Here is a 25988-nt window from a genome sequence, read left to right on the forward strand (position 1 = left end):
AAAATAACATCAAATAGAAAGTATGCATATTTCCAAACCTCAAATTCCCAGGGATATCAGACCACAGGAAATATTAGTTGTAGGAAAAACATATCTCTTCTATCTATTGCCCATACTGCACCAGGCTCAACTAGTGACTGTTTAGGTATAGAGTTTCTAGGGCAGTATTTATTCCCCATTTCATCCAACAATTATTGGAAACTGATGTTTTCATTAAAGAAACACAATTTAGCACTAGCAATCCGTTTAGTTTTAGCAGTCAGAAAGTTACTTTTAAGGCAAATTCTGTGTAGGATCATTTTCAGTAGTGTCTAAGATGCCAACTTATTGTGAAATCACTACTTACTTTAAAAATATAAGTTAGAAGTTTTGATGGTACTAAAATATTTTTCCTCCATGTTCTTAATCTCTTCCACATATTGGGCAGATATAATCAAAGCATGACACTAGACTTTAAGTTTTTTTGTCTGTCAACATATTAGAGGTGATTGAATTATATCTATTACAAAGTGCCATTTTATTATATGTGATTTATTTTAGCTGACCAACAGCTAAACAAGCTGCACTCCAAATGAAAGATTAACATTAGGATTCTTTTCTTTACCTTCAGTGAAACAAGCTTCTGGTTCAAGAGTTTCTTCAGGTTCCACTACGGGCTGTTCTTCTACAGGTGCGCCGATGTCCACAGTGCTACCTTCTGATGAGCTACTGCTTTCATTCAGTTTCTGTAAGTGAGATGGACATAGAAAGTAAAGTCCTTTAATTTTGGTAATAAGTTGCCTGCCAAGAAAGGATTATTACTATGAATTTGTTTTTTATTCTTCTTGAGGTAGAGATATTTTTAGAGAAAAAGAGAGATTGAATAAGGGGAAGAAATAAGAAAATCATTGTCTGTGCTAACCCTTTTACCATAATTCACAATGTAAGCTTGAAATCAGATTGCTATGTTATGAGGTTACAAAAGGCCATCAGCCACATGTACTGAGCAAAACACTGCCTTGTGGATTAGAGAAGCAGGGGACACAGGGAAGAGAAGAGGGAGGAAGAGAAAGGGAAAAGGAGCAGGAGAGAAAGAGAAAGCTTACCTTAGAAGAAAATAATGTCGTTAGGTTATTCTGCAGTTTAATGTTTGACTTTACATATTTCTTTAACAATGTCTTACCTGTGTGTACAGATACTACCTGTTGTTTTCACTTATGTTACTAAGATTCATGGTTAAGGTGTTCAGAGTTATTTACTATAAATGTGGTCATTTGGAGAGAAATTGTTATAAAATATGTCAAAAATTACATCAATAAACAACCTTAGAGATATTAAATAGACATCTTCAATTTCTGGCAAGTATTTTAGAGCCTGAAGTGTTGTAAAATGAGATAAATAGTGTGTGGGAAAATTCAGTTTCCTCTGACAAATCATGTTTATGTTAATGTGCCATGTGAAGCTGAAAGAACAAAATCTAGTTAAACAACAACAACAATAACAATATCCTTCATATTTTGACAATAGTGATGGGATGCACATTTCTCTTTCTAGAGTTCTCAGAAGACAAAGATGGCAGAGATAATAGAAAATATTAACTAACATATTAAGATAGGAAAAACTCATGACGCTCTTTCTGAAGACCAGCAAACTGGCTTATAAGTTTTTGGCAAGTGTAATTAATTCATTAATTTATTCAACTAATATTTTTTGAACACCAACAATATGCTACCAGCTGAGTATTCACTGATAACTGAAATATCTATTGTCCTTATTGGAGTATCAAATCTAGTACAGTATTTTCTAAACTTCAGGCTTATGTAGACCCGACAATAGGCATTCCAGTGCACACAGCAGCAAGCCATTCAACCCGTTATCACGATATTGTAAATAGTAAAAATTAAACACAATATTAAAATTGTTAATATGAATTTCACATACATAGGAGAGTGTTGATATTTCAGTAAAAGTTTCACCGAAATATTTGTATTTGCTTGAAGAAGGATAGCTTATATGTCTGGGTCCATATCTAGTTGCCTTCTTTCCTTTCCTTTTAATTTCTTAAAATAGAAAAACTTACCTGACAGTTACAGAAAATTAGGACCTATAATGGCATGTAGCTCTGTCATAGCTCTGTGAATTCAGGTTGAAGATGATCTTTGAAATTATAAAATATTTCTCACTGAAGACTAATTTCAACATTCTAACACATTAAATAGGCCTGCATACTATGCTCAGAAGCTGAAAAGTTGATTGTTCAACATGATAGACAGTAGTAAATAGATCATAATCTACTTTCGGGTTGCATTTAGCTTTGACTATCTTTGTGTTCTGTTCTAGCATTTGCACTGAATTTAAAACATATCCAGGAATAAGTCATTGGTTTCTTCCTCTGACAAACGAAGAGAATCACCTAGTGGCAGGCGTTAGTCACATTCTCAATCAAACTACTCATAACATCACATGATCTTCTGAAGAAATTCTTATGTCTTATCCTCAACATTACACAGATTCATCATTTGGCCGTAAAGTGATAGGCTAAGACTTGTCACTTCAACAAGTGCCTTCATATTTTAAAAATGACCTTGATTGGCACTATCCGGGACATAATGAAATTCATTACATACTTTATAAAAACCATGTGAGCAACATTTCATCACCCATTGTTCTTCACTGTAGAAAAGCAAATGCCCATTCTTCATGAAACAATTAGAGAGTGGAATTTGAGAATTTTAACAATTTTCGCCAAAATTAATTAAGAACTAGAAAGGATATTATTTCCTGTGAATAAATTTGTGTGGAGAGGCATTCAGGTACAAAGAATTATAATAGCAAACCTACCTTCTATATATATAATTGTTATCTGCTAGGTCTGATCCCCACATAGTTTTCCAGTCTATACCAAGACTCACAAAATAATAGAATATTAGCATAAAAATCTACTCTTCATCAGTATAGGTTGTCAGTAATAAGCAGAACAAAAAGTTGCTCAGTAATTAATCTTCATGTAAGTGCCACAGATAAATGATTGATTCTTTGCACATAAGTGTTTTATCCAATTGTAAGGTGAATTAGATCCTGGCATGAACATGTACATAAAAATTGTTCTTCCTTGATTACTAGTAATATCATGCAATTGTTATTGCATGATATTAAAGTATACTGATACACTGATAATAAAGTATTGCCAATAACTAGTTTTGCTTTTTTGCCAACCATATTTGTTTTCTTATGAGGAATACTACTTTTAATGATACCTCTGAAGCATTGATTTTTATTCTGCCTTTAAGTGAAACCACTTATTCACTTTATGAATTAAAGCATTGTTTTTTACTTTTTCTAAGACAAAGACTTATCTGACTTACCTAAGTTGTGACTATTTTCTGTGAAAATTACGAGAACCCAAAAGACCTTATGTTACTTTTTGACACATTTTCAAAATGGCATTCTCTGAAGAAGACAAATAGATCAACAGTTCAATAAGTTTTAATATTCAGATATTCATCTTATATTTCTTATTTAGACATTTATTTTTAGGATGCTTACCTAAGATGGTCACTCTTACAGAATTACTTTTTAAAAATACATGTAGATTTATGGTTCTTCTGATGTTTTTTCATTAGAGTCTCAATTCACAAAAAAACCTGAGTTTTAAGTTTATATGATTTCCATTCCTATTTTATCCCTTTGAGTTACTCAACCAAGATAGTGTAATGATGATGTAACACAATATGAGAATAACATCAAAATGGAAAATTGAACAATATAAGAGTTGGCATGCAATTGGACATACACGAACTCTACCCTGTCTACTAAATGTTAGGAAAGTAAAACTTACTACTAATTTTAAGTACATGAGCAAGCGCTTGTAAGTACCCATATTACATTGGTAACTCTTGAAGAATGTAGTGGATATTAATAACATAAGATTGTATGAACTGTATGATTGTATGAACATTACAAGATAATATGAACTCTAAATTATCTTATATTTAAAATATGTTAAATGTTTCTGAATAACTTTGCTATTTCATGAGGACTACTTTATAAACAAACTGGGACCATGGGTGGGCTGTAGATCCAGGAATTGGTGAATAGTGTTACTTCTCCAAATTGTAAAACATTAATGGCAAAGCCAAAGATAGTCACAATGGATGGATACAATATACTTCTAAGTGTGCTTTCTTTTTTTAATGCATAGAGCTTGGAGTCACTCCATATTTCAGAAATTTTAAGGTGATTTAAAAGATGATCAAATGCCCTTATTAGCATTCCAATGGAATATCTGCACTTGGAAAGTTCGCAGGTCTAGACAAGTGATCTTCTACATGTTTACAAATTAATTTTAAAACATTTTTTAAGCAATATAAGTATATTCTACAGTCTGTCTGAACTACTGTAGGAAAGTGGAGGTGTGCCTAATAATACTCAAATTTAGTATGCTCTCAATCTAAGTAATGACTTTTTAAACAATCTTAAACATACTTCTTTAACCAAATTCCTGATTCTGCAATATCACTCTTTCAGCACCCAGACTCAAATTTTTTTGTTTACTTTTACTTATTTCAAACATTGGCAGTAATCAAAAGTCAGTTTTCCTTATTTTATCTCTGAAATAACTATTTTCTCAGTCAGATTCCAAATTCCTATGAAATTTCTGTTTATTCTTGTTACCTTTTCTTTGTTTAACTATAAATAAAAATGGCCATCCTCATTCTAGCCTCATGTGACTTAGACCTTTGTGGTCCACAAAGCTTAGTGTATGTATGGTGAATGACTAACAAACATTTGGTGAATGAATGAATAGATGAATACCTCTGTTTCAGATATTAGTGATGGATGAAGTTTTTGTTTTCAACTTAGAGTTCCAACCAAATCTCCCAAATTTGTCTTTCACAGATAGAAGCTGTATGTTAATCAAGGTGAACTTCTTTTTTTTTTTTTTTTGAGACAGAGTCTCGCTCTGTCGTCCACGCTGGAGTGCAGTGGCGCGATCTCGGCTCACTGCAAGCTCCGCCTCCCAGGCTCATGCCATTCTCCTGCCTCAGCCTCCCAAGTAGCTGGGACTACAGGCGCCCGCCACCATGCCCGGCTAATTTTTTGTATTTTTAGTAGAGACAGGGTTTCACCATGTTAGCCAGGAGGGTCTCGATCTCCTGATCTTGTGATCCACCCGTCTCGGCCTCCCAAAGTGCTGGGATTACAGGCGTGATCCACCACGCCCGGCCCAAGGTGAACTTCTTAATGTTCTCTGACTTTTTCTCCTAGTGATTTTTCCTCCCATCATTGCGGAAGAGTAATAATTGCTCTCTTATTTAAACCCCTTTCAACACTTTACAGGGACTACTTTGGGCATATATTTTATTATAACTTCTCTTCATTCTAATGGACTTACTTACAAAATTAATGACACTTGCAGTTTTCTCAGTAAAATACAATAACTGATGACCTTGATGTGCAAAAATTGCTCAGGTCGTTGGCTACTGCCTAGGATATCTGCACATTTCTATTTTCACCAGCTGAATGGTATGCTTATCAAGAATAAGTTATGTTTATTTTCAAATCAATTTACACTATTCTAAAATACTGTAAGTGTGTAATTTAATCTTGTAGAATTTGAAAAATGCATTTAAAAAGTGTTGTTGTATTTATAAAAACTAAGTCAAAATCATTGAATAAACGTAACACCGGTAAATCCCCCACATAGATACATGTACATTAAAAAACCATAAAATTAGGTGTGAATATTTACTTTTTAAATAGTTACAAATATAAATTTCTGAGAAGATACTAAATTCAGGTTGCTTTATATGATTCGTTAAGATATTTGTCCTCTGGGGGAAAAAAAAAACTAAACAGAAATAATAGATGATGAATTACAAGTGCAGCTCATGCTAAAACATTGATGTAGCACTCCAAACAATGAACCCATGCTGGAACAAGGCACCTAAAGTGACATTTTTATACATGTCATTTTTATTTTGTAAATAAATGGAGCAGTTGAATGTTTGGGATCCAGAGAAGTGTATACATCTTTCAGGAACAATATATGATTAAAAATTAGATTTAAAAAATGGTATTCATATTTGGCTTAAGCTCTACTTCGCAAGTCAGCATTTTGCAAAGGGAGGCTGGTAAGCCACATCATGGCTAACCCTTATGATAGACCCTGATTCTCATAATAGTAAGAAGAATTTTCCCCTACTTTCAAATCATAATAACATCAGAAAAAGTGACATGTGACTATTAGAAAGATTAAACCATAAGCAGTGGGGCTTATGTCAATGAATTACTCTAGATAAACTATGATAACCTGAGAGAAGTGTTAGTGCTTTTTCTAGAAATTTATATATAATGTAAATAAATGAGCATTAGTGTAAGAAAGGAAAGAAAAACAAACAAAATAAAATAAGTTCACAAGTGACCGAACTAAACTGTTTTTAGCCAAAACATGGGGAACAACAAGAGTTTTGATTGGCATGTTAAATAAGGAATACAATACAGAAATTAAAATTAAATTAAACAAATAGTAAACCTTTTACATAGTCAATAGATTAAAATAAATAAAAACATTAATATAAAAGTCACCCAGACCTTCTCAAAGATGATAGTAAGTTTATAAAAACAAGAAAGGCATTAAGCTTAAACACATAATTTGTATAAATTATTTCTAAAATGCTATATGCTTAGTCTTTAATGTACTTTAGAACTTAGAGAAAGTCTATCATCTGCAGATCATAAGTTGTACAGCTAAATTTCAATCAACAATTATACCAACATTCAGTATGTATGTTGCAATGAAAGGCATCTGTCCTACTAATATGACAGAAGAGGTGTTTCCAGCCAATGTTCTCCAGAGATCTCACTCCAGCCTTAAGTGGCTGAAGGCTTTAATTCAAGCAGGGAAGTTCCACTTTCATCTAATTTATGCATGATACATGAAAAAATTTGATTAAAATATTATTTAAAAGATTGGAAAACTCCCTATAGTCCCAGCTACTTGAGAAGCTGAGGCAGGAGAATTGCTTGAACTTATAAGTTTGGGAACAATTTCAGCATTATAGCTGGATCCCATTTCTAAAATAAATAAATACATAAATGAAAATTTAAAAAATTTTGAAAATGTATTGGAAAACCATAATTGAATCAAAATTTGGGGAAATGCATGCCCAAATTTAAGAAGATGATGTTAAATGAAAGAAAAAATATGTGTGGTGAATATAGGGGAAATTATGTGGAATTTAGTATCATGAATTTCAGTGGAAAAAAGGTGATAAAATGAAAAAAATCTTCAAGATTTAGCAATTTCAGATGAAACAACTTGGCACTAAGCTAATGCAAAGAGCTATTATTTTAAAAAGGCTCTTAAAGTTTAGAATTTGTCACCAACACCACTAGTAACTAGGTGGGGGGCGGGGTAATACCAAGTGAAGAGACAGTATCTTTGTGGGTATTAAAAAAGTTATTTCAGGGGTTTAATCTATAAACTTGAAGAATTGACAGTATGTTGAATGACATGTAAGAATCTCTTCTTTATGTCTGCAAACATGCTTTCTTCATGACAGTCTGTAGTAAGCAGAATTCTAAGATGGTCTCCAAAATTTCTGGCCACTGTTGTCATGCCCTTGTATAATCCCCTGCCCTTATGTATGGGCAGGACCTGTGACTTGCTTCTAACCAATACAATGTGGCAAAAGTAATGGGATGTCACTCTGGTGATCATGTCACACCGAATCATTTTAGAAAAGTTACAATGTTTTCTTTTTTCTTCAAGAAATAAATAATTAGTAGTTCTGACTTTTTAATGTTAAGTACCAACAACCAGGCTTACAGAAGCAGCAAAATGTGAAAGCTTTGCTACGTGAAAACATATACTACCAATCAGGTAAACTTGACAAATTATACTCAGGTTTTTTACTAGAAGCTGAGAGGAGTTGGAATTGAACATGACCTCAGAAAACTGCAATATTCAGATTGGTAAAGTAGACCTGGATAGTATAATTGATTTGGCAAAAAGCACACAATAGGTTAAAAAAAAACAAACTAGGATGCAAAATTCTCAACTTTAAAGCTCTTTTTAAATTCAACATGGTGCCTCTATGAATATTTTATAGCTATACCTCATTACAATAAGTATGCATATTGGTCATTTTATTTGCATATATGCAGAATATGTGTATACATTATCATGTGGTAAAATGATCCATATATGGAGTAAGTAGATGATGTAAATTACTTTATACAGCCAAACCACATCTGTCACTCACCATTTCTGAATTGACTATTCCAAGAACTTTTAAAACAAGTTATGGCCTCCAGTGGAGCCAACAACCTTATTTTTTCACCCTTCTCCTGGCCCAGGCCACAGTAGTGGAAAGAAAGCCACCAACAATAAACTGGAAAGAAACCCAGACCTGGTTTGACCTCTTACTTTCTGCGTGGCTTTGCTCAAATAATTCTTCCTTTAGCCCATTTTTTAAATATGTAAAATGAAGAGATGATCTTTAAAGTTCCAGCTTTAATTTTCTATGACTTTGTAGTGTTTGAGAATTTGAAATGATACATTTGGACAGTCTTAAATCCAAGAGAGATATGAAGTGAGGACTGATGAGAAGGTGATGAGGGAGCAGATCTGGACTCAGGAGGAGAAAAGGATGAGGAAGTTCAGAGTGGGTATGGCTGCTGGGCCTGCACAGTCTGGGTAACATGTTGGGACTGTGGCTAAAAAAGTCCTGTGATCAGTCTGGTCAACATAGTGAGATCCTGCTGTCCCTACTAAAAAAAAGAAAAAAAAATGATGTTTTTTTTTTTGATACGGAGTTTCGCTCTTGTTGCCCAGGCTGGAGTGCAATGGCGCAATCTCGGCTCACTGTGACCTCTGCCTCCCGGGCTCAAGCGATTCCCCTGCCTCAGCCTCCCAAGTAGCTGGGATTACAGGCACCTGCCACCATGCCTGGCTAATTATTTATATTTTTAGTAGAGACAGGGTTTCACCATGTTGGCCAGGCTGGTCTTGAACTCCTGACCTCAGGTGATCCACCTACCTCAGCCTCCCAAAGTGCTGGGATTACAGTGTGAGACACCGCGCCTGGCCAAAAATTTTTTTAAATAGCTGGATGTGGTGGTGCATGCTACTTTGGAGGCTGAGGTGGGAGGACGGCTTGAGCCCAGGAGGTTGAGGCTGCAGTGAGCTGTGGTTGCGCCACTGCACTCTGGCGTGGATGACCGAGTGAGGCCCTGTCTCAAAAAACAAACAAACAAACAAACAAATAAATAAATGAAAAATCCTGTGATCATCTCTGACCAAGGAGAAGCAAATAGCTATTCCCACCTTAGAGACAAAGAAACCATCCACATGTAGCTGGGCTTTTAATTTCACTATTAGCTGTATATGAAATATTCAATTACTCAACATTTATTGAAAGATACCATGTTCTGAGATTTGTGTTAAGTATCTGTCTCATGGATCTCCTTCATCAGCATAATGCATTATTTACCTGGGTTTTTGTTTTGTTTTCCTTTTCATGTTTTGCTTTTGTTTCTTCTTTTTTATTGGCCAAATTGAAAAGCAGAAATTACACTACCATTGTTTTGATATTAACTTATTTGATAACAATTAGGAGTAATATTTCTTAAGGTTTGTCTTCCAGTTATATTTTTTATGACTTGTCTCTTTTGACTATTATTTGTTTGTTTATTTGAGACAGGTCTCATTCTGTCACCCAGGCTGGAGTGCAGTGATGAAGTCACAGCTCACTGCAGCCTCTACCTCCCAGGTTCAAGCAATTCTGCCTCAGCCTCCCAAGTAACTGGGACTACAGGTGCATGCCACCACACCCGGCTAATTTTTGTATTTTTTGTAGAGACAGCATCTGATCCTCAGGCTGGTCTTGAACTCCGGAGCTCAAGCAATTCACCCACCTTGGCCTCCCAAAGTGCTGTGACTACAGGAGTGAGCCACGGTGCTTGGTCTTTTGCCTATTTTTCTATTGGAGTATTAGTGTTCTTATTTGATTGCAATTGCTCTTTACACATAGAAAATCATTTGAGTTTTCCTAACAAGGATTATTTGCCAAATGTATTTGTTTTCTGTGTCTGTGTAACAAATGAGCATACACCCAGCATCTTAACATACATTCACCAACTCACAGTTTCTGTAGGTCGGAAGTCTGGCACTGCCTAGTTGGATTCTCTGCTCAGGGTCTCATTGAGATGATGTCAAGGTGTTGGCTGGAAATCCAGTTCTTTTCCAGGGCTCAGGATCTTCTTCCAAGTTTACTGTCGTTGGCAGAGTTCATTTCTCATAATTATAAGACTGGGCTTCCTACTTTCCTGCCAGCTCATGGCCCAGAACCACTCTCAGCAACTAGAGGCCACCCATAGTCTCTGGCCACATGGCTGCTGTATGCAATTTACAATATGGGTGTTTGCTTTTTTCTAGGCCAGGCAGAGCATATCTTTTCAGCTTCCTCTATGTGATAGCAGGAGAAATCACTGTGCATTTAAAGAGTTTGCCTGATTAGGTCAGGCCCACCCAGCATCATCCCCCTTTTTGTCATAAATGTAATGTAATTAAAGGGTGATACCATATCCACAGGTTCCAACCACACTCATGGAGTGGGGATTATACAAGGGCAAGTGTCATTGAGATCATCTTAGAATTCTGCCTGATACACCAAAGTTTGTGTGTCTTACTGATTTTTTTTTCCTAAGAACCATAACCTGTTATACCAATATTGTCTGCTACATTGATAATTCACTATTTTTTCTCTTTATGTATATCTTCTTCCTTTTTTGTTCCTTTTCTAATTTCTCAAAGATATTTGTTAGGTTCTTTCATCCCTTCTTAATCATATTAGTAATATTAAGTCATATTAATGACTACTTGGTCTTCTTCCACAAATTTTGACATAAAATGCTTTTATTTTTGAAATAGCTATTTTGGTATTTTATTATGCTTTTATTCAATATTTGTTTAGGAGGCAATTTCTTAATTTTCAAATGGTTGGAATTCTTTCTATCAATTTATTATTAATTTCAGGCTTAACTACATTGTGACTGGATAACCCTATATGCCAGCTATTTTAAATTTATTGAGCTTTACTTTGAACTCCAGTATATGGTTACTTTTATAGAAATATTCCATGAACCCTTGAAAATAAAAATTTTCTGTAAATATGTTTTTTGAGATAATATACAGTCATATTTACTTTTGCTATTAATATTATCCAAAATCTAAATGTTGTCATCTATTTTTTAAAATATTTTACCATAGGCTAAAAAAGTTGTATTAAAACCTTCATAACCAGTATATTTGCATCAATATATTCTTATAACGGTTGAGATAAAAGATGAAGTGGTCCAATTCTTTATTTGATTGGGATAATAACACTATTATTATTAAATACTCAAAAAGGGAAGGAAAAGCTCCTCTTCAGATGTGTAGGAAAAGTCCACCTCTATGTTAGCACATGAAATACGAATTCATATAAAATTCTAAAGAAATTCAATAACGGCAAAACTAAAATATTCTCAAATAAGTATTTTTACAGATTTAAAAATCAGTAAGGCCAATTAATTTTTCCTTTTTTGTTCTTAGATTGAAATTTAATTTCATTTTGAAATTTGCTATTCACTAATAAAGTAATTTGTTCTCACTGTTTTAGAGATTAATGGAATATTTCTCTTTCTTTCTTTCTTTTTTTTTTTTTTTTTTTTTTGAGACTGAGTCTTGCTCTGTCGCTCAGGCTGGAGTGCAGTGGCGTGATCTCGGCTCACTGCAAGCTCCGCCTCCCAGGTTCATGTCATTCTCCTGTCTCAGCCTCCCAAGTAGCTGGGACTACAGGTGCCCACCACTGCACCCGGCTAATTTTTTGTATTTTTAGTAGAGATGGGGTTTCACCGTGTTAGCCAGGGTGGTCTCGATCTCCTGACCTCGTGATTCGCCCGCCTCGGCCTCCCGGAATATTTCTTAAAATCTATTTTAATGTTTATTAAACCATGAATCAACCTTAAATTTTACCAATTTCTAAATAGGCTAGTTTATTTAAGAATATGTATATTTTCACACATGAATCTTAATAGCTAAATTATACACTTATACACTGACTTGTATCATCCATGTATTTTTGGCAGGCTGACTTAATATGTGAGCTGACAGAATGCAGAGACCACGTTGTATATGAAGCATCCACTTTGCCTTGTACACCAGGGCATTCAATAACCACTTAATAACTACAACCCTGATGGTAAGAGCAGTTTTCCTCCGCAGTGGATTTATGCAAATTTCTTGTTTTTTAACAATGCTCTTTACTATAGCAAATGATTTTGACCTTGAGGGTAAGGCAAAACAAAGCAAGGCAAAGAAAACTTTCTTCAATATTCTCTGAGAGTAAGTGATTAAATGCTTTTTTTCTTGTTCTCTGACTTGATCCTACAATGTTTATATTTTTATTTTTAAACTTGGTTTGTTATAAGGAGCTTATTTATAGAGTTTAGTAGGAGTTCAAATTATAATAAGTAATATAAATAAATCTGGAATTTAAGGGTCAAAAGCATACTTAATATGTGGTCATGCGATGTCTATATATTTGTATATGTATATATGTGTGTACATATATATTTAATATATATATTTAACATACACATGTATATATTTAACATATAAAGAATATTATCCAAAGTACTTATTTTTAAAGCTGGACAGGTACTATTTTAATGCTGGGTACTTTACTATTGTGACACATATATCTCCTAAGTCATGCTAAAATGAGGTTCTCTACAACCTCAGAAATGCTAGTATTAATATTTCATTGTGTACATTGTGCACTAGTAAATATTTCTATTGTACACTATGCATATTAAAAATTAAAATGACCCCTATTAAAGACTCTCAACAAAGGAAAATATAATATCAATGGAAAAGACACTGTAATGAGACTCAACATTTCCACAGGGCAGCTAGAAAACTCAAATATTAACTCATTAATTCCCACATTATTCCCAGTTGATTTCTTCATCAAGCTGTATGTTGAAAGGACAATCTTCAGTGATTATTCATATTTACAGAATGTCAGTTGTTTCTATTCTTTAGTCAAACACTTGCCCAGTATAAAAGTGAACGTGGAGGAATACGGCTCTAATATACTACTCTGAATTTTGCTTTCGATAGGTCACACATAAACTTCTGTATCAATAATTAAATATAAGGGAACAAAAGCAACATATTTCAGACATATTGAGTCAATAGAAAATCATGGTAATACAAAAAAATTGGAAAGAAAACAAAAAAATTCTGAAAAATTGCATTTATAATCCCCAAGCTAGAAACCAAAATGCAAATCAAATGAGTAATTTTCATTGTTAAATTCATTTTGCCAAATTGAGCACAGAGCTTCTATAATGTTATTTTGACATTGATTTTTAATGTTAAATTATAACATACTTAATAAGTGTCTACTGGGCAAATAAACTGTATATCTATATAATGAAAGAGTTGAAAGTACTACTGTTCAGAGGATCAGAGAAACTTGAGTTTGAATCACAATCACTGGTTTTATGGACTTTAACCAATTATTCTGACCTCCTTAGGCTTTAGGTTTCTAATTTGTAAAATGGTTCTTACTTCACATCCTTGTTATAAGGACTGAACAAGATAACACATGAATAACGTTTGGCGTATGCTTATTTGATAAATGGTAACAATTTCCATCACAGTATTGTATTGTTTGTAATAGGTGTAATTATTGATATTTGAACTTTTTCACTACCAAAAATGTGCCAGGCATCAAAACTAGGACTTGAAAAATAAAATAGTGAACATAATAGACTTAGTATCTGCCCTCGTCGGTTCACAATCAGATGGAGGATACAGAGAAGCAATTGCCACACACTCTAATAGGAGTAGTATAGAGTATATTGAGAACACCACCTAGCTCAATCTAGGAAGGACAGGGTAGAATAAAGTGACATTTGGGACAAGAAGGATGTGGTGGGTGAGGATGAGTCAGGTGAAGCAGGATAGAGTAAGAGAGTATTCCTGTCAGAGAGAAAAGGTATAACGATGAGAACTGATAAAGCATAGGGAATTACATTGAATGAAAGATTAGTATAGCTGGGTGGGGAGGTGTGAGGTGTACTATTCCATGATACTGAAGGAGTCAGCGGTGGTCAGTTTTGCAGGGACTTGTACCCATGTTAAGTAGTATAGACTCCATACTGTGAGCAATGGGCAACTCCTGAAAGGTTAGGGAGGACAGAACGGTTACGGGATTTGCATTTTAGAAAGACCACCTATTGTTTTGTCAAGACTACACTAGCGAGAGGAGACCCGTTTGGAGGCTGTAGCAGTAAAACTGGAAGATGATGGAGGTCTGACACTGGGTAAAGGCCTTGGGAATGCAGAGAGGTGGACAAAGATAGGTAGCTTTGGCAGTCCCTAGTGATCAATTAGAAGTAGTGGAGATAGTACTCTTGGGTTCCATGGATAGTACTCTTCGCAGAGAGTAGTTGCCATCTCTTAGAGACTATGTGCTTAGGTTGGAGATTGTCGTATGTTCCTTAACCCATATAACGTAAGATAAAAGTATTAGATGGAAAAATATCAGCAAAGCAACAAGTAGATTTAAAATGCATATATATCAGTGATATAATTGGGAAAAAATGGAAATCTAGAAGTAACTGCCCATCACCTATTTATTCATTCATTTAATAAATATGTTGTATGTGCTGTGGACTTAAGGGAAGACAGGGTTAGTGTTTTTCCTGTTCTCAAAGACCTCATAAGCTAATGATACATCATAGAAGTTCTTCCTAATGATTTGGAAGACTCTTCCAGCAGCTTTAAACTCAGAAGGGGATGCTCCTTAAGCACAACTATCACACTCTGGGAGACTAAGTGCTCTCTAAGTAGAATTAGACCACCACAGGTCAGTGTGGGATGCAGAAGCAGATCAGCCTAAAGTGCAGGCCAGTACCAGAGGAACAGGACCTTTCAGGACTAAGCAGGAGGACTCTGAAACACTCCAGACTATGCTGTTAACCTATGCCCAATGTGCAGTGATTGGAAGTTAACACCAAATCTATAGTTGACACCTGTACCTAGTTCTTCAACAAATAGTATTATTTATTTCAGAACTATGCCAAAGAAAGTACATTTTCAGACACTATTAAGATTTAGTGTAGCGGTTAAGAGCGTGACTCTGGAGCAGACTATGGAGCAGACTGCCAGGACCAACCACTTACTGTTTGTGTAACTTTGGCAAGTTTTCCTTTGTTCAAAATATGTTTATTTTTCTCATCTTAAGGCTGGAATAACAGTGTGTCTTACGGCATAAAGACTGAATGGGACAATATATGCCCTCCAATAGTACTTTGTCCATGGTGAACATTTAAACAATAGCTGTTATTAACATAACCTGAATTACTAAGGACCTCACATTTTTACTCATTATTCTAGAGCTCACTCATCGCAAAAACAAATGTATTTCTTTTATAATTACTTTAGTAATGTGCCTTTTTTGTTCCCAAAAGGTACAACTTTAATAACTCAATTTATTTAAAATTTTTATTTAAATGGAATTAAGTAGTAATTTTCTTGACATCACCTTACACTTTTGAACATTTTTAACTTCCAAATAGCTTTTAGATCTTCATAACATTTCTATAAGCATCATAGGACAGATATCTCATTTAATAAATTAGGAAACGGGGTAATATAGATTTAGCGATTTGCTCATAGTAGAGTTAAGGCTTATAAGCTCTTAATCTAGTATCCATATAAATCAACCAAACCTCAAAAAATTATTGGGCAACTGTTATGCACCCAGCATTGTGGTAGGTGCTTCGGAGGATAGAAATGTTATAAAATACTATCCAAAACCAAAATAAATTTACTTTCTATTTGGGGAGATAAGATTTTATATTGTCTTTTGCATAGTCTTGGCAGTTTTGCCCAGCCTTCAAAGCTCTCTCAGATCTGTCCAAGTCACCATTCTTTATTATTAATGTTCAATAAAAATTCATGTTTCTAGCTTATCATTATTCCTACTATGGCATGAGTCAAGAAATTTTCTGAGGTTTTAAAAAACAATTCCTCAAATTACTTGAATGTACTTTGAAGGTTGAAGTCTCTTAGGACTTAAAGAGAGGATGAAATGTGACTCATGCTATTCCCTTTCTTCTTTTGGAGACCAATAGGAGGAAGGTGTAGAAAAAACAGCCCTTAGTTTGCTCTGGAATGGAGGATAGTTAGGTGTGAGTTCACCACAGATGTAAGAGGCAAAATAAATATGAGGTTCCAGTTCACCACATCTCTTCATACCAGTCTATTCTTGCTTCCTGGAAACCAAGACTCTTTACCTACATCTCATCCTCAGCTCCTGTGATTTACGCCCCCGGAATTCCAAACTACTAATTGTCTCCAAATACATCCTCTTGCTTCCTGTCTTTAGGTTTCTGCATGTTTGTATTTCCTGATTGGAATGCCCCTTAGAAAAGTAATTTTCTTAAATATTTTAAGGAGCTTACCATATCAAGAATGTAATCAAAACAATTTAAAAATAAACAGAAAATATAAAATGTATCACCATCCCCAGATAAACTTATAAAACAATTTATTACAGAGGGCAAAAGGCAAACAACAAAAAAAGACAAATAGTGGAGTATGTTACCAGTAGTAATTCTTGTAAGAAAACTTACTGGAACAGTGTGGAATGCAACTGGTAACAATAATAATGATGATTTACCAGATATTCTATATTAATTAGGCACTGTGCTAAGTACTTCACATTTATTATCTCATTTAATACTCTGTCCCAGAAATGCAGTCAGTAACATTATGCACATTTTTGAGATGAGGAAACTGATTATTAGATAGGTAAAGTCACACAGTAAGCGGCTAAAATGAAATTATATAACCCAGTATCTGGCTCCAGAGTATAACCATTTACCAACTTTATAACTGTGGCCTCACATGTCTAAAAACAAATATTTAGTGTATGAAGAATAAACAGTGGGCACTTGTAATTTTAACACAAGGCATTAATATAATTTTGGAGGTATTATAATGATGCATTGTAGATAAGTCATTACTGGAATTCAGGAATGGAAACAATAACATGTTCAAATGAAACTAGTCTAATAGAGGCCATGAAAGGTAACATTTTTGCATCAGTAACATATGTCTCAATATGAAAATTCATACTTAAAGGTTGAAAGTCATACACACACACACACACACACACACACACACACAGAGACAGAGAGAGAAAATCATTCCTTATAGCTTATTAGTATACTCCTTTATCTAGTCTCCCTGGCATATGATAACTGATAAATAAATGAAAATAGGCAAAAAGAATAAAGGCTAAAACAAAAAGAACCAAAATGATGAGATTAATATACTACAGGCAGCATTCCTAATGTAGAACAAAGACTCTTCATCTATTGGGGCATCTGCTGTCAGCTTAATTCCTCTAAAAGCAGAATATCTCATAATTTATGCCTTACTTTGATGAACAGAATACAGTATAAGACTGATGAAGCAATGAGGGCAAACAATATTGTGTGGGTTTATTTCTGACCAAGAAGAAAGGAATTGTGAAGTAAAAGTGCCAGGAAATTTGATACAATGTGGTAATCTGTGAAAGAATATAAAAAGAAAGCCAGATTCAAAAATGAATAAAAGAAATTGAAATGTATCATTAGGGGATAAATAGAAGTTTCAGTATTTAATTACAAAATTTCGTCTGGATGAGATACAACTGCATTTCAACAGCAATTCATGTGGAAAAGATGAGAGATTATTACTTTCTTAGAAGGGTGGTGTAAAGTGACAAGGTAACATGGCTAACAAAAACAAAAACAACAAAATCTAACTCAAGTGAATCTTGAATCTAGAGAAAAAATTGGTCCAAAATAATTGGAATTAAAATGACAATCTCAAGTATGCTCTAATCAGAGAAAGTATTTATGAGAGCCCTTCAGAATGGTTTTATTAAGAAGAGTTGAATGAGCTGGAAAAGTTTGATCTGAGTGTCTACTTTGTACCAAACATGTTTAAGTAGGTCACCACATAAAAGGAGAGACATGCATGCATATAAGTAGCTACCCTAAAATATGATAGTACTTTGTAAGACGCATGAGTCAAGAAGATGCATTATTTATTACTATACTCTATGCCTTATATCTCTGGGAACCAAAAAAGAAAGCAATCTGTTCTGCCTAGGGTTAGGAAGGCTTCATTATCACTACCTTCAAAAAGCTGAAACAGTCTTTCTGAAGCTTAAGAACTCCTGGACTTCAGACACTATGCCCATGAACCAAGTGGTTGCATTCTAATTAGACAAACAAAACATTAAAGTTCAGCACAGGTGGCAAAAGCTTCATTTACCAGGACTTCTCCCTCTGACATGAAATGTGCTCTAACGTTATTCTGTTCTATTTCATTGGCCGGGTGCAGTAGCTCACACCTGTAATCCCAGCACTTTGGGAGGCTGAGGTGGGCGGATCACTATTTCATTAAAATTAAAAAAAAAAACTGGCCTATTAAAGGGATTTCTCAAGTCTAACTAAACTATGACTCACAATTTGAGAAGCACCACATTAAATTATCTCTAAAGTTTCTATTACCTTAACATTTAAAATTTCAATTAATGCAATGTTCCAAGATATAAAATACCACAAAGTAGAAAGAAACAGAACTACCTCTAGTGCTTCAGTGGATAGTTGCTTTATAAAAAGGTTAGTGTTTCTTTTAGCCTTGATCAATATAAAAAAACAATAAGAGTAAGAATCATGTCAAATTTTTACAGAAAATGTATATCTTATGGATGGTCTTTGTAAAATAGTCTTTTTCCTTTTTAATATAACAGATAGCATATGGTAGCCATTAGTCCTCATCAAATGCTAAATGTAGGTCTAAAGATTCAAGACAAAGGAAGCTAGACTAGGCTATTACTAAATTTATTTTAACAGAAGTTCAGAAACAATTTTATAAAGACAACAATTTTTCAAAAAATTAGCCTTCATCTGATTCCTTAGGAAAACTCAAATAAACAAAGTCTGAACTGACATAATATCCAAATTAAAATTTCTGTAAAAAAGTCCACAATATTTGATAAAAACAGTCTATTTTTTTTTTGTCCTGAATCTATTTCCATAGACATGGAAATGTGACAGGATCTATCTACTATTACATCTCTGCACTATATTTCTTTCCCTTCTCTCATCAAACAAATCTGAATTAACTAAGCAGCTCTAATGCTAGGGTCAGGGCAGCTGCTTCCAGCTCCAATATTAGCCCCCTACTCCTAAAAGTGGAGGCTGACCTAGATTATTCAGAGACTCATTATAAATACTTGAAGCATCTTTTAAGGGATATAGTCACTAAATCAAAAGAATGTCACATACCTGTGGTATCTTCCATGGACAACTATCAAAATGCAATGGACATGATGATATCTAATAGAATTGTATCTCTAATAAAATGTCTTTAATGTATTCAATCCTTTAAAATATTTAGACTATACAGCCTAAAAGATGGGCACCCTGCTGTTTTTGAGATTTCCAAACACTAAATGGGAAGTAAAGGTGCTTTGTCCTAGACTCCTTGTTAATTATCTTATATATCCATTAGACTTTTAACTTAATATTTCAAAGTAGGTTGCTATGGATTAAAGTTTTGTCTCCACAAAATTCATATGCTGAAGCTCTAACCTTCAATATGACTGTATTTGGGGATAGGGCCTGTAAGGTGGTGATAAAGGTTAAATGAGGTCATACAGGTTGGACTTTATTCTGATAGGGCTGGTGCACTTATAAGAAGAAGAATAGACACCAGAGTTCTCTCTCTTTCCATGTACATGCATTGAGGACAGGCCATGTGAGGACGCAGCAAGGAGGTGGCTGTCTGCAACCCAAGGAGTGAGCCCTCACTAGACATTGATGCTGCTGGTATCTTGATCTTGGACTTTCCAGTTTCTGGACTATGAGAAAATAAATTTTGGTTGTTTAAGCCACCCAGTTATGGTATAGTGTTATGGCAGTCCAAACAGGCTAATGCATAGGGCAGTGTAATTTTAGTTGAAGGAGCTACAAGAATATTTCTTGTTGTTAAGTTCTCTTCAATGTACATGAGCCAATGTGATGCAAAAAACAATAAACAGAACTTGTAAACAAGGGCTCTAAGTTCAACTCTCGGCACTCCCCTCACTAGCTATGTGACCTAATGCTCCCTAAGCTAATTTTCTTATCTGAAAAGTTAACATAATAACACATTTCTTTCCAGGTTATTGTAAGGATTAAATCTGATGATGTTTGTCTATTTGTTAGATCGTTCATTCATTCATCTAACAAATATCCATTACTAAGGATGAGAAAACTCACACGTATACTATATTACCCTTTAATTTATCAGTCATTTCCGAGTTAAATCTTTTGTTCCTCAGTGAAATAAAATTTTACATGATGTCAAAAAAATCTATATGGAAAATATATAATAATAAATACAGGCAATATAATGCATGTATTGTAAATGTTCCTCAATTTACAATGAGGTTAGTTCCTGATAAACTCATTGTGAGTTGAAAATATTGTACATCAAAACTTACTTAATACACCTAACTACCAAACTTTATAGCTTACCCTAGTCTACTTTAAACATGCTCAGGAAATGTAGATTAGCCTACAGTTGGGCAAAATCATCTAAAGGAAAGCATGATTTATAATAAACTGTTGGATAACTCAGGTAATTTCCTGAATACAGTACACTGTACGGTAAATATTGGTTGTTTATCCTTGTAATCACGTGGTTGACTGGGAGCTGCAGCTTGCTGCCCCTGCCCAGCATGAGAGTATATTGTACCACAAATTGCTAGCCTGGGAAAAGATCAAAATTCAAAATTTAGAGCATGGTTTCTAGTGAATGGCTATTGCTTTTGTATTATCATAAAGTAAAAAAAAAAAAAAATCTTAAGTCAAAACATCATTAAGCTGAGGATCATCTGTATGTGTGTATATGTATATATGTATATGTATTCATACCTTCCCACACCTATAGAATCTTACCTCTTTGCTTTCTTCCAGATCCGATTCACTACTAAAGTCTTCCGTGTTTAAATTTTCAAAGTCAGATTCTCCTACAGCAATTGGTACAGTCACAGTAAGACTGGGGTTGTTTATGAATGACATGTAATCACTTTCATCAATAATGTATTTTTCAACACTGCTGCCAGTTCCTATACCACTTGTAGTTCCATTTACATCTTTAAGATAGTCAAGATCTTTCCCAATTTCTGCTGTATGATTGGACATACAACTGTCTTTCTTGTTGTTTAGATCATCAAGTGGTTTAATTTCATCTAAAATCTTTTGTTTCCTAATGAAGGACTGTTGAATAAATTCATATATTTTTCTTTTCACATAAGCTACTCCTTTGTGCATCCTATCCACAGCAATTTGGAGATTATTCATTTCATTATCATCATCAGTGGCTGCAAGGTTGTCTGCACTAAATGAGCTCAGAAGCAAGGCCAGAAAGAGATTCAGGACCTTAAAAACAACAAAAACATGATTATAATTTTACACCAATGTAGGGAAGAGCAGATTACAATCACTTATTCTTTCTTTTAAGTGTGGAAAAAACTCTAAGTTCTAAAACTTGATGAGAAGGAAACACCACAGCATAGTGATTAGAAGATGGGTGATCTGAATTTGTGACTGGCTCAATAGCACATCCTTGGACAAAGACATGATTTCTGTTGCTCTCAAGTTCTCCCATTCGTAAAGTGAAATTGAATGAGCTAATCTAAGGTTTTGTTAACTCTAAAATTGTATGAGTAGAAGAAAACAGATTTATATGTGTACAATACGAGAATTCTTAAAAATCACTAATGTTTCCAAGTATGCATTTAAATGCATTCTATAATTTTTCAATAAACAAAGATATTAAATTGGATGTCAATTGAAAAATAACCATTACAACTCAGAATGAAGATTAGGAGCTTAACATAGGCTGACACTTGTTTTCTTAATCTATTATATTTCTCATACTTCATTGTTGACTAAGTAGAGCTGTTTATGAATAATCTCTCATATTTCCATGAGACTGGCACATGAATGTACATACCTTTAGAATATTTTATGTATTACTATACTATAAACAGTAACACTCCAAATTTAAGAGAGATAAAGATTGATCAGTTACTCCATTATGGTAATCTCAGGCATCATTAGCCATTCGAGAACTGATGAACTCAGGTTGGCTAGTGCATCTGCCATATGACATAGAGTGATTGAATATCATATGCTGCAATGGGGCAAAGAAATGGCACAAGCATTATGAACTCTTAAAGACACCACTTTTTAGTCCTAGTCTGGATGGTAATTTTGCACTTTCTCTCTACTTTTTTTAGACTTCTCTCTTCCTTGGCTCTGAATTTATAAAATGGTCCCAGCACATCCTTTTAGGCTCATCTCAATATGATACTCTATTGTAATTCACATAAAAAATGTGATAAAGTGACTGACAAAATAGAATTTGGTATAAAAAATGCAGGGGCACTGCTATATTGCTGTGTTGTTAAAGTGATAATATATCCAAGGTAATGGACTTTTAAACCAATAATCATAGTTTGTTTTTCTTTTTGACAAAACAGTCACCATTAAATTATACTCTTTTTTTTTATTATACTTTAAGTTTTAGGGTACATGTGCACAATGTGCAGGTTAGTTACATATGTATACATGTGCCATGCTGGTGTATTTCCAAAATGCATATCTTAAGTGGGTACATACCACTAGGTTTCCAATCACCATGACCATCATGAAGACAGTAAGGCACATGGCTTGACCAGCAACCTCCATACAGTCCCACATGGTCTCTATCCACTCCCCACACAGCACGCGGAACACAATCAGGAAGGAGTGGAAGAAGTCATTCATGTGCCAGCGTGGGAGTTGACAATCACTGGCGATCTTGCAGACACAATCTTTGTAGCTTTTACCAAAGAGCTGCATGCCGACCACGGCAAAAATGAAGACGATGATGGCCAAGACGAGGGTTAAATTTCCCAGAGCCCCCACGGAATTGCCGATGATCTTTATTAGCATATTTAACGTTGGCCAAGATTTTGCCAACTTGAAAACTCGCAGCTGGAAAATGAAAGATTAATATATATTTGTATGATTCTTAAAAGCATTATATATATTGAGCTTTACCTAGAAATGGTCATTAGAATTCAATATCTTACAATATCTGATCTGCCCTAACCGTCTCAGGCTCATGGCTAATTTTTGGACTCCCTAGGAAAAGCTGGATTTTCCATATTTTAACCATGTAGATCATTTTCTCTGATGGTGAATTATTTTTCTTTCCTTTTCTTTTTTTTTTTCTTTTGTCACCCAGGCGGGAGTGCAGAGGAGTGATCTCGGCTCACTGCAACCTCTGCCTCCCAGGTTAAAGTGATCCTCCTGCCCCAGCCTCCCAAGTAGCTGGGACTACAGGCACGTGCCACCACACCTGGTTAAATATATATATAGTAGAGACGGAGTTTCACCATGTTGGCCAGGCTGGTCACGAACTCCTGACCTCAAGTGATCCAACTGCCTCAGTCTCCCAAAGTGCTAGGATTACAGGCATGAGCCACCAAGCCAGGCCTCTTATAGTGAATTTTTAATGAGTACTTGGAATCCAACTGTTCTTAATTTGTTTTATAAAGGTGGTTCTAAGGCCGGATATTATAATATTAACATCTGAATCTGAAATATCTCTGCTGAAAGATATTAATTTGCCAGTAGTGTGCAAAGTAACATCATACTGAGCCCTGATATAAGTAAAGTGTTCATTATTCATTAATGCTCCTTAGGGGTATTCATGTAGTTACATCCACCTGCATTGAAAAACTTGGAATATTTCCTATAATTCTACAATTATTTTCCTGACTTGTAAGGATATATGTGTGAATTAATGGGCATGCTTAGTAATCCTACAGACTTTCTCTCCTTTGACTTTCGCAAGATGCATATTTTCCAGAGACAGAATTAGAAAAAGTTTCTGCATGCACATCTTACATCTGATTTTCATCCACTGCTACAAAGGGCTATATATATTTTCAAGTTACTATTAAAAGGTGATGCATTTTCATTAAAAATATTTTCTTAGGTCTAGAAATATTAACTGTAGTAGTCTCTAGAAGCAATACTTAGTGAAAATAGCAACTGAGTAATACGTTAACTTTTACGTAACTATGTTCTTTGAAATAAAGGTTTTCATAAATAATTGAGAATTTTTTTCCATGTAGGAAAAGTTTTTGACAATGCAAATGTTACAGAAAAACTTACAATGCTAATGGTTGTGTGGCAAAAAAACTATGACATTGCTATGCAAGAACCCTGATTGTTAGAAAGGTTTTTGAATTTGGTGCTTTTTTTTTTTTTTTTTACCAATCGAAATGAACGGAGAACAGATAATCCTTCCACATTGGCGAGTCCAAGTTCTACCAGGCTAAGCGTCACAATAAAACCGTCAAAGATATTCCAGCCTTCTTGGAAATAATAGTAAGGATCCATGGCAATAATTTTCAGAAACATTTCTGCTGTAAAGATCCCAGTGAAAACCTAAGATCAAAACAAAATTAATCTAATTCCACCAGATAATAACATACATGACATAAGATTTGCTCTTAGAACATAATGCTTATGCTATTTTCCCACAATGATTCTATTACTAACTTAAATTTGTATGGCAATTTGTAGTTGATGAAAGACTTTCATATACATTATTTAATTTTATCCTTGTGGAAACGCGAAGTAGATAATATACAATTATTACTTTACAGATAAGGAAACTGAGGTCTTCAGATGGGTGAAATGGCTTGCTTGATATCATACAGCAAGAAAATGGCAAAACTAGGATTTGAGTACAAGTCATCTTTTTTTTTTTTTTTTTTTTTTTTTTTTTTTTGAGACGGAGTGTCAGTCTGTCGCCCAGGCTGGAGTGTAGTGGTGCCATCTTGGCTCACTGCAAGCTCCTGGGTTCACGCCATTCTCCTGCCTCAGCCTCCCGAGTAGCTGGGACTACAGGCGCCCGCCACCACGCCCGCCTAATTTTTTGTATTTTTAGTAGAGACGGGGTTTCACCATGTTAGGCAGGATGGTCTCGATCTCCTGACCTCGTGATCCGTCCGCCTCGGCCTCCCAAAGTGCTGGGATTACAGGCGTGAGCCACTGCGCCCAGCCCAAGTCATCTATTTTTAACAGTGCTCTTTCCATTATACCAAACTACCTTTTTGTCCAGACTTTATATACCACAAGTACTGACAACATTTTGCCCATGAGCACTTTTATTTATCTATAAGCTTATTCCTATTTCCCTCAATCAGAGTTATACATTCTTATCTATTATACTAGGTGCATTACTATTGTCATTCTTTGTTATGCACATGAAAAAAATAAATTTACTTCTGTAGTATAAATAGTAGAACTTCAAAAATATAACTAATAAAATGCAGGTTGTTATGCATGATGCTTTTGTTTTCTACCATCAAAAATCCTAAACTTCAAACCAAATATTACAGGAAATGCATAAATTACTTTAGATAGCTCTTTCCTTCAGCAAATAAAAGCTAGTATTCCTAAGTTGAGTTGACTGGCAAACACTTTAATAATTTATGTTTTTGAAGCACAAAAAGGAAAAATTAAGTGGCAATCTTCACCAAAAATGACCTTTGTAATCATATAACACACAAAATGTACTGGAAGTTTTCAATAGTTCATGGTTTTGATATAGAATAGATGGATAAACAATACATGTACTACTTAGATCCTGGAAGAGGAAAAGCTGGAGACATTTTTGAGTTGTTAAATTATTTCTTGCAGTGATGATGACTAAGAAGGATAAAAGAGATCCACAATTTTATTTTAATCTTCTACAGTAAGGGAAATTGTAATAATATCTCAAAAAGTATGTTCTTAATCTATGAGCTACTTCTGGATCCTGAAAAATTATAAAT

At 34.6% G+C, this 25988-nt stretch overlaps 1 protein-coding gene and 1 long non-coding RNA gene across 19 annotated transcripts in view; one reads left to right on the plus strand and one right to left on the minus strand.

Moving 5' to 3' along the window:
* Positions 1-21398, plus strand: part of LOC102724058 (uncharacterized) — a 78983-nt gene extending 57585 nt beyond the window's left edge. The window contains exons 2-4 of the long non-coding RNA NR_110598.1: positions 611-727; positions 12115-12227; positions 21064-21398. This is a non-coding gene — a long non-coding RNA (uncharacterized LOC102724058). The remainder of the gene's footprint in view (positions 1-610; positions 728-12114; positions 12228-21063) is intronic.
* SCN1A (sodium voltage-gated channel alpha subunit 1) overlaps positions 1-25988 on the minus strand; it is a 164521-nt gene that overhangs the window by 30362 nt on the left and 108171 nt on the right. For all 18 annotated transcript variants that reach the window (NR_148667.2, NM_001353949.2, NM_001353958.2 and 15 more), the window contains 4 exons: positions 24421-24594; positions 22774-23130; positions 21046-21528; positions 605-725 (listed from right to left, as the gene is read on the minus strand). Coding sequence is in view for 17 of the 18 variants with exons in the window: in NM_001353949.2 (NP_001340878.1) it covers positions 605-725; positions 21046-21528; positions 22774-23130; positions 24421-24594 (1135 nt within the window). In the remaining variant the exon portion in view is untranslated. The remainder of the gene's footprint in view (positions 1-604; positions 726-21045; positions 21529-22773; positions 23131-24420; positions 24595-25988) is intronic.

Source organism: Homo sapiens, chromosome 2, assembly GCF_000001405.40.
Source record: "Homo sapiens chromosome 2, GRCh38.p14 Primary Assembly".
Classification (NCBI taxonomy): Eukaryota; Metazoa; Chordata; class Mammalia; order Primates; family Hominidae; genus Homo; species Homo sapiens.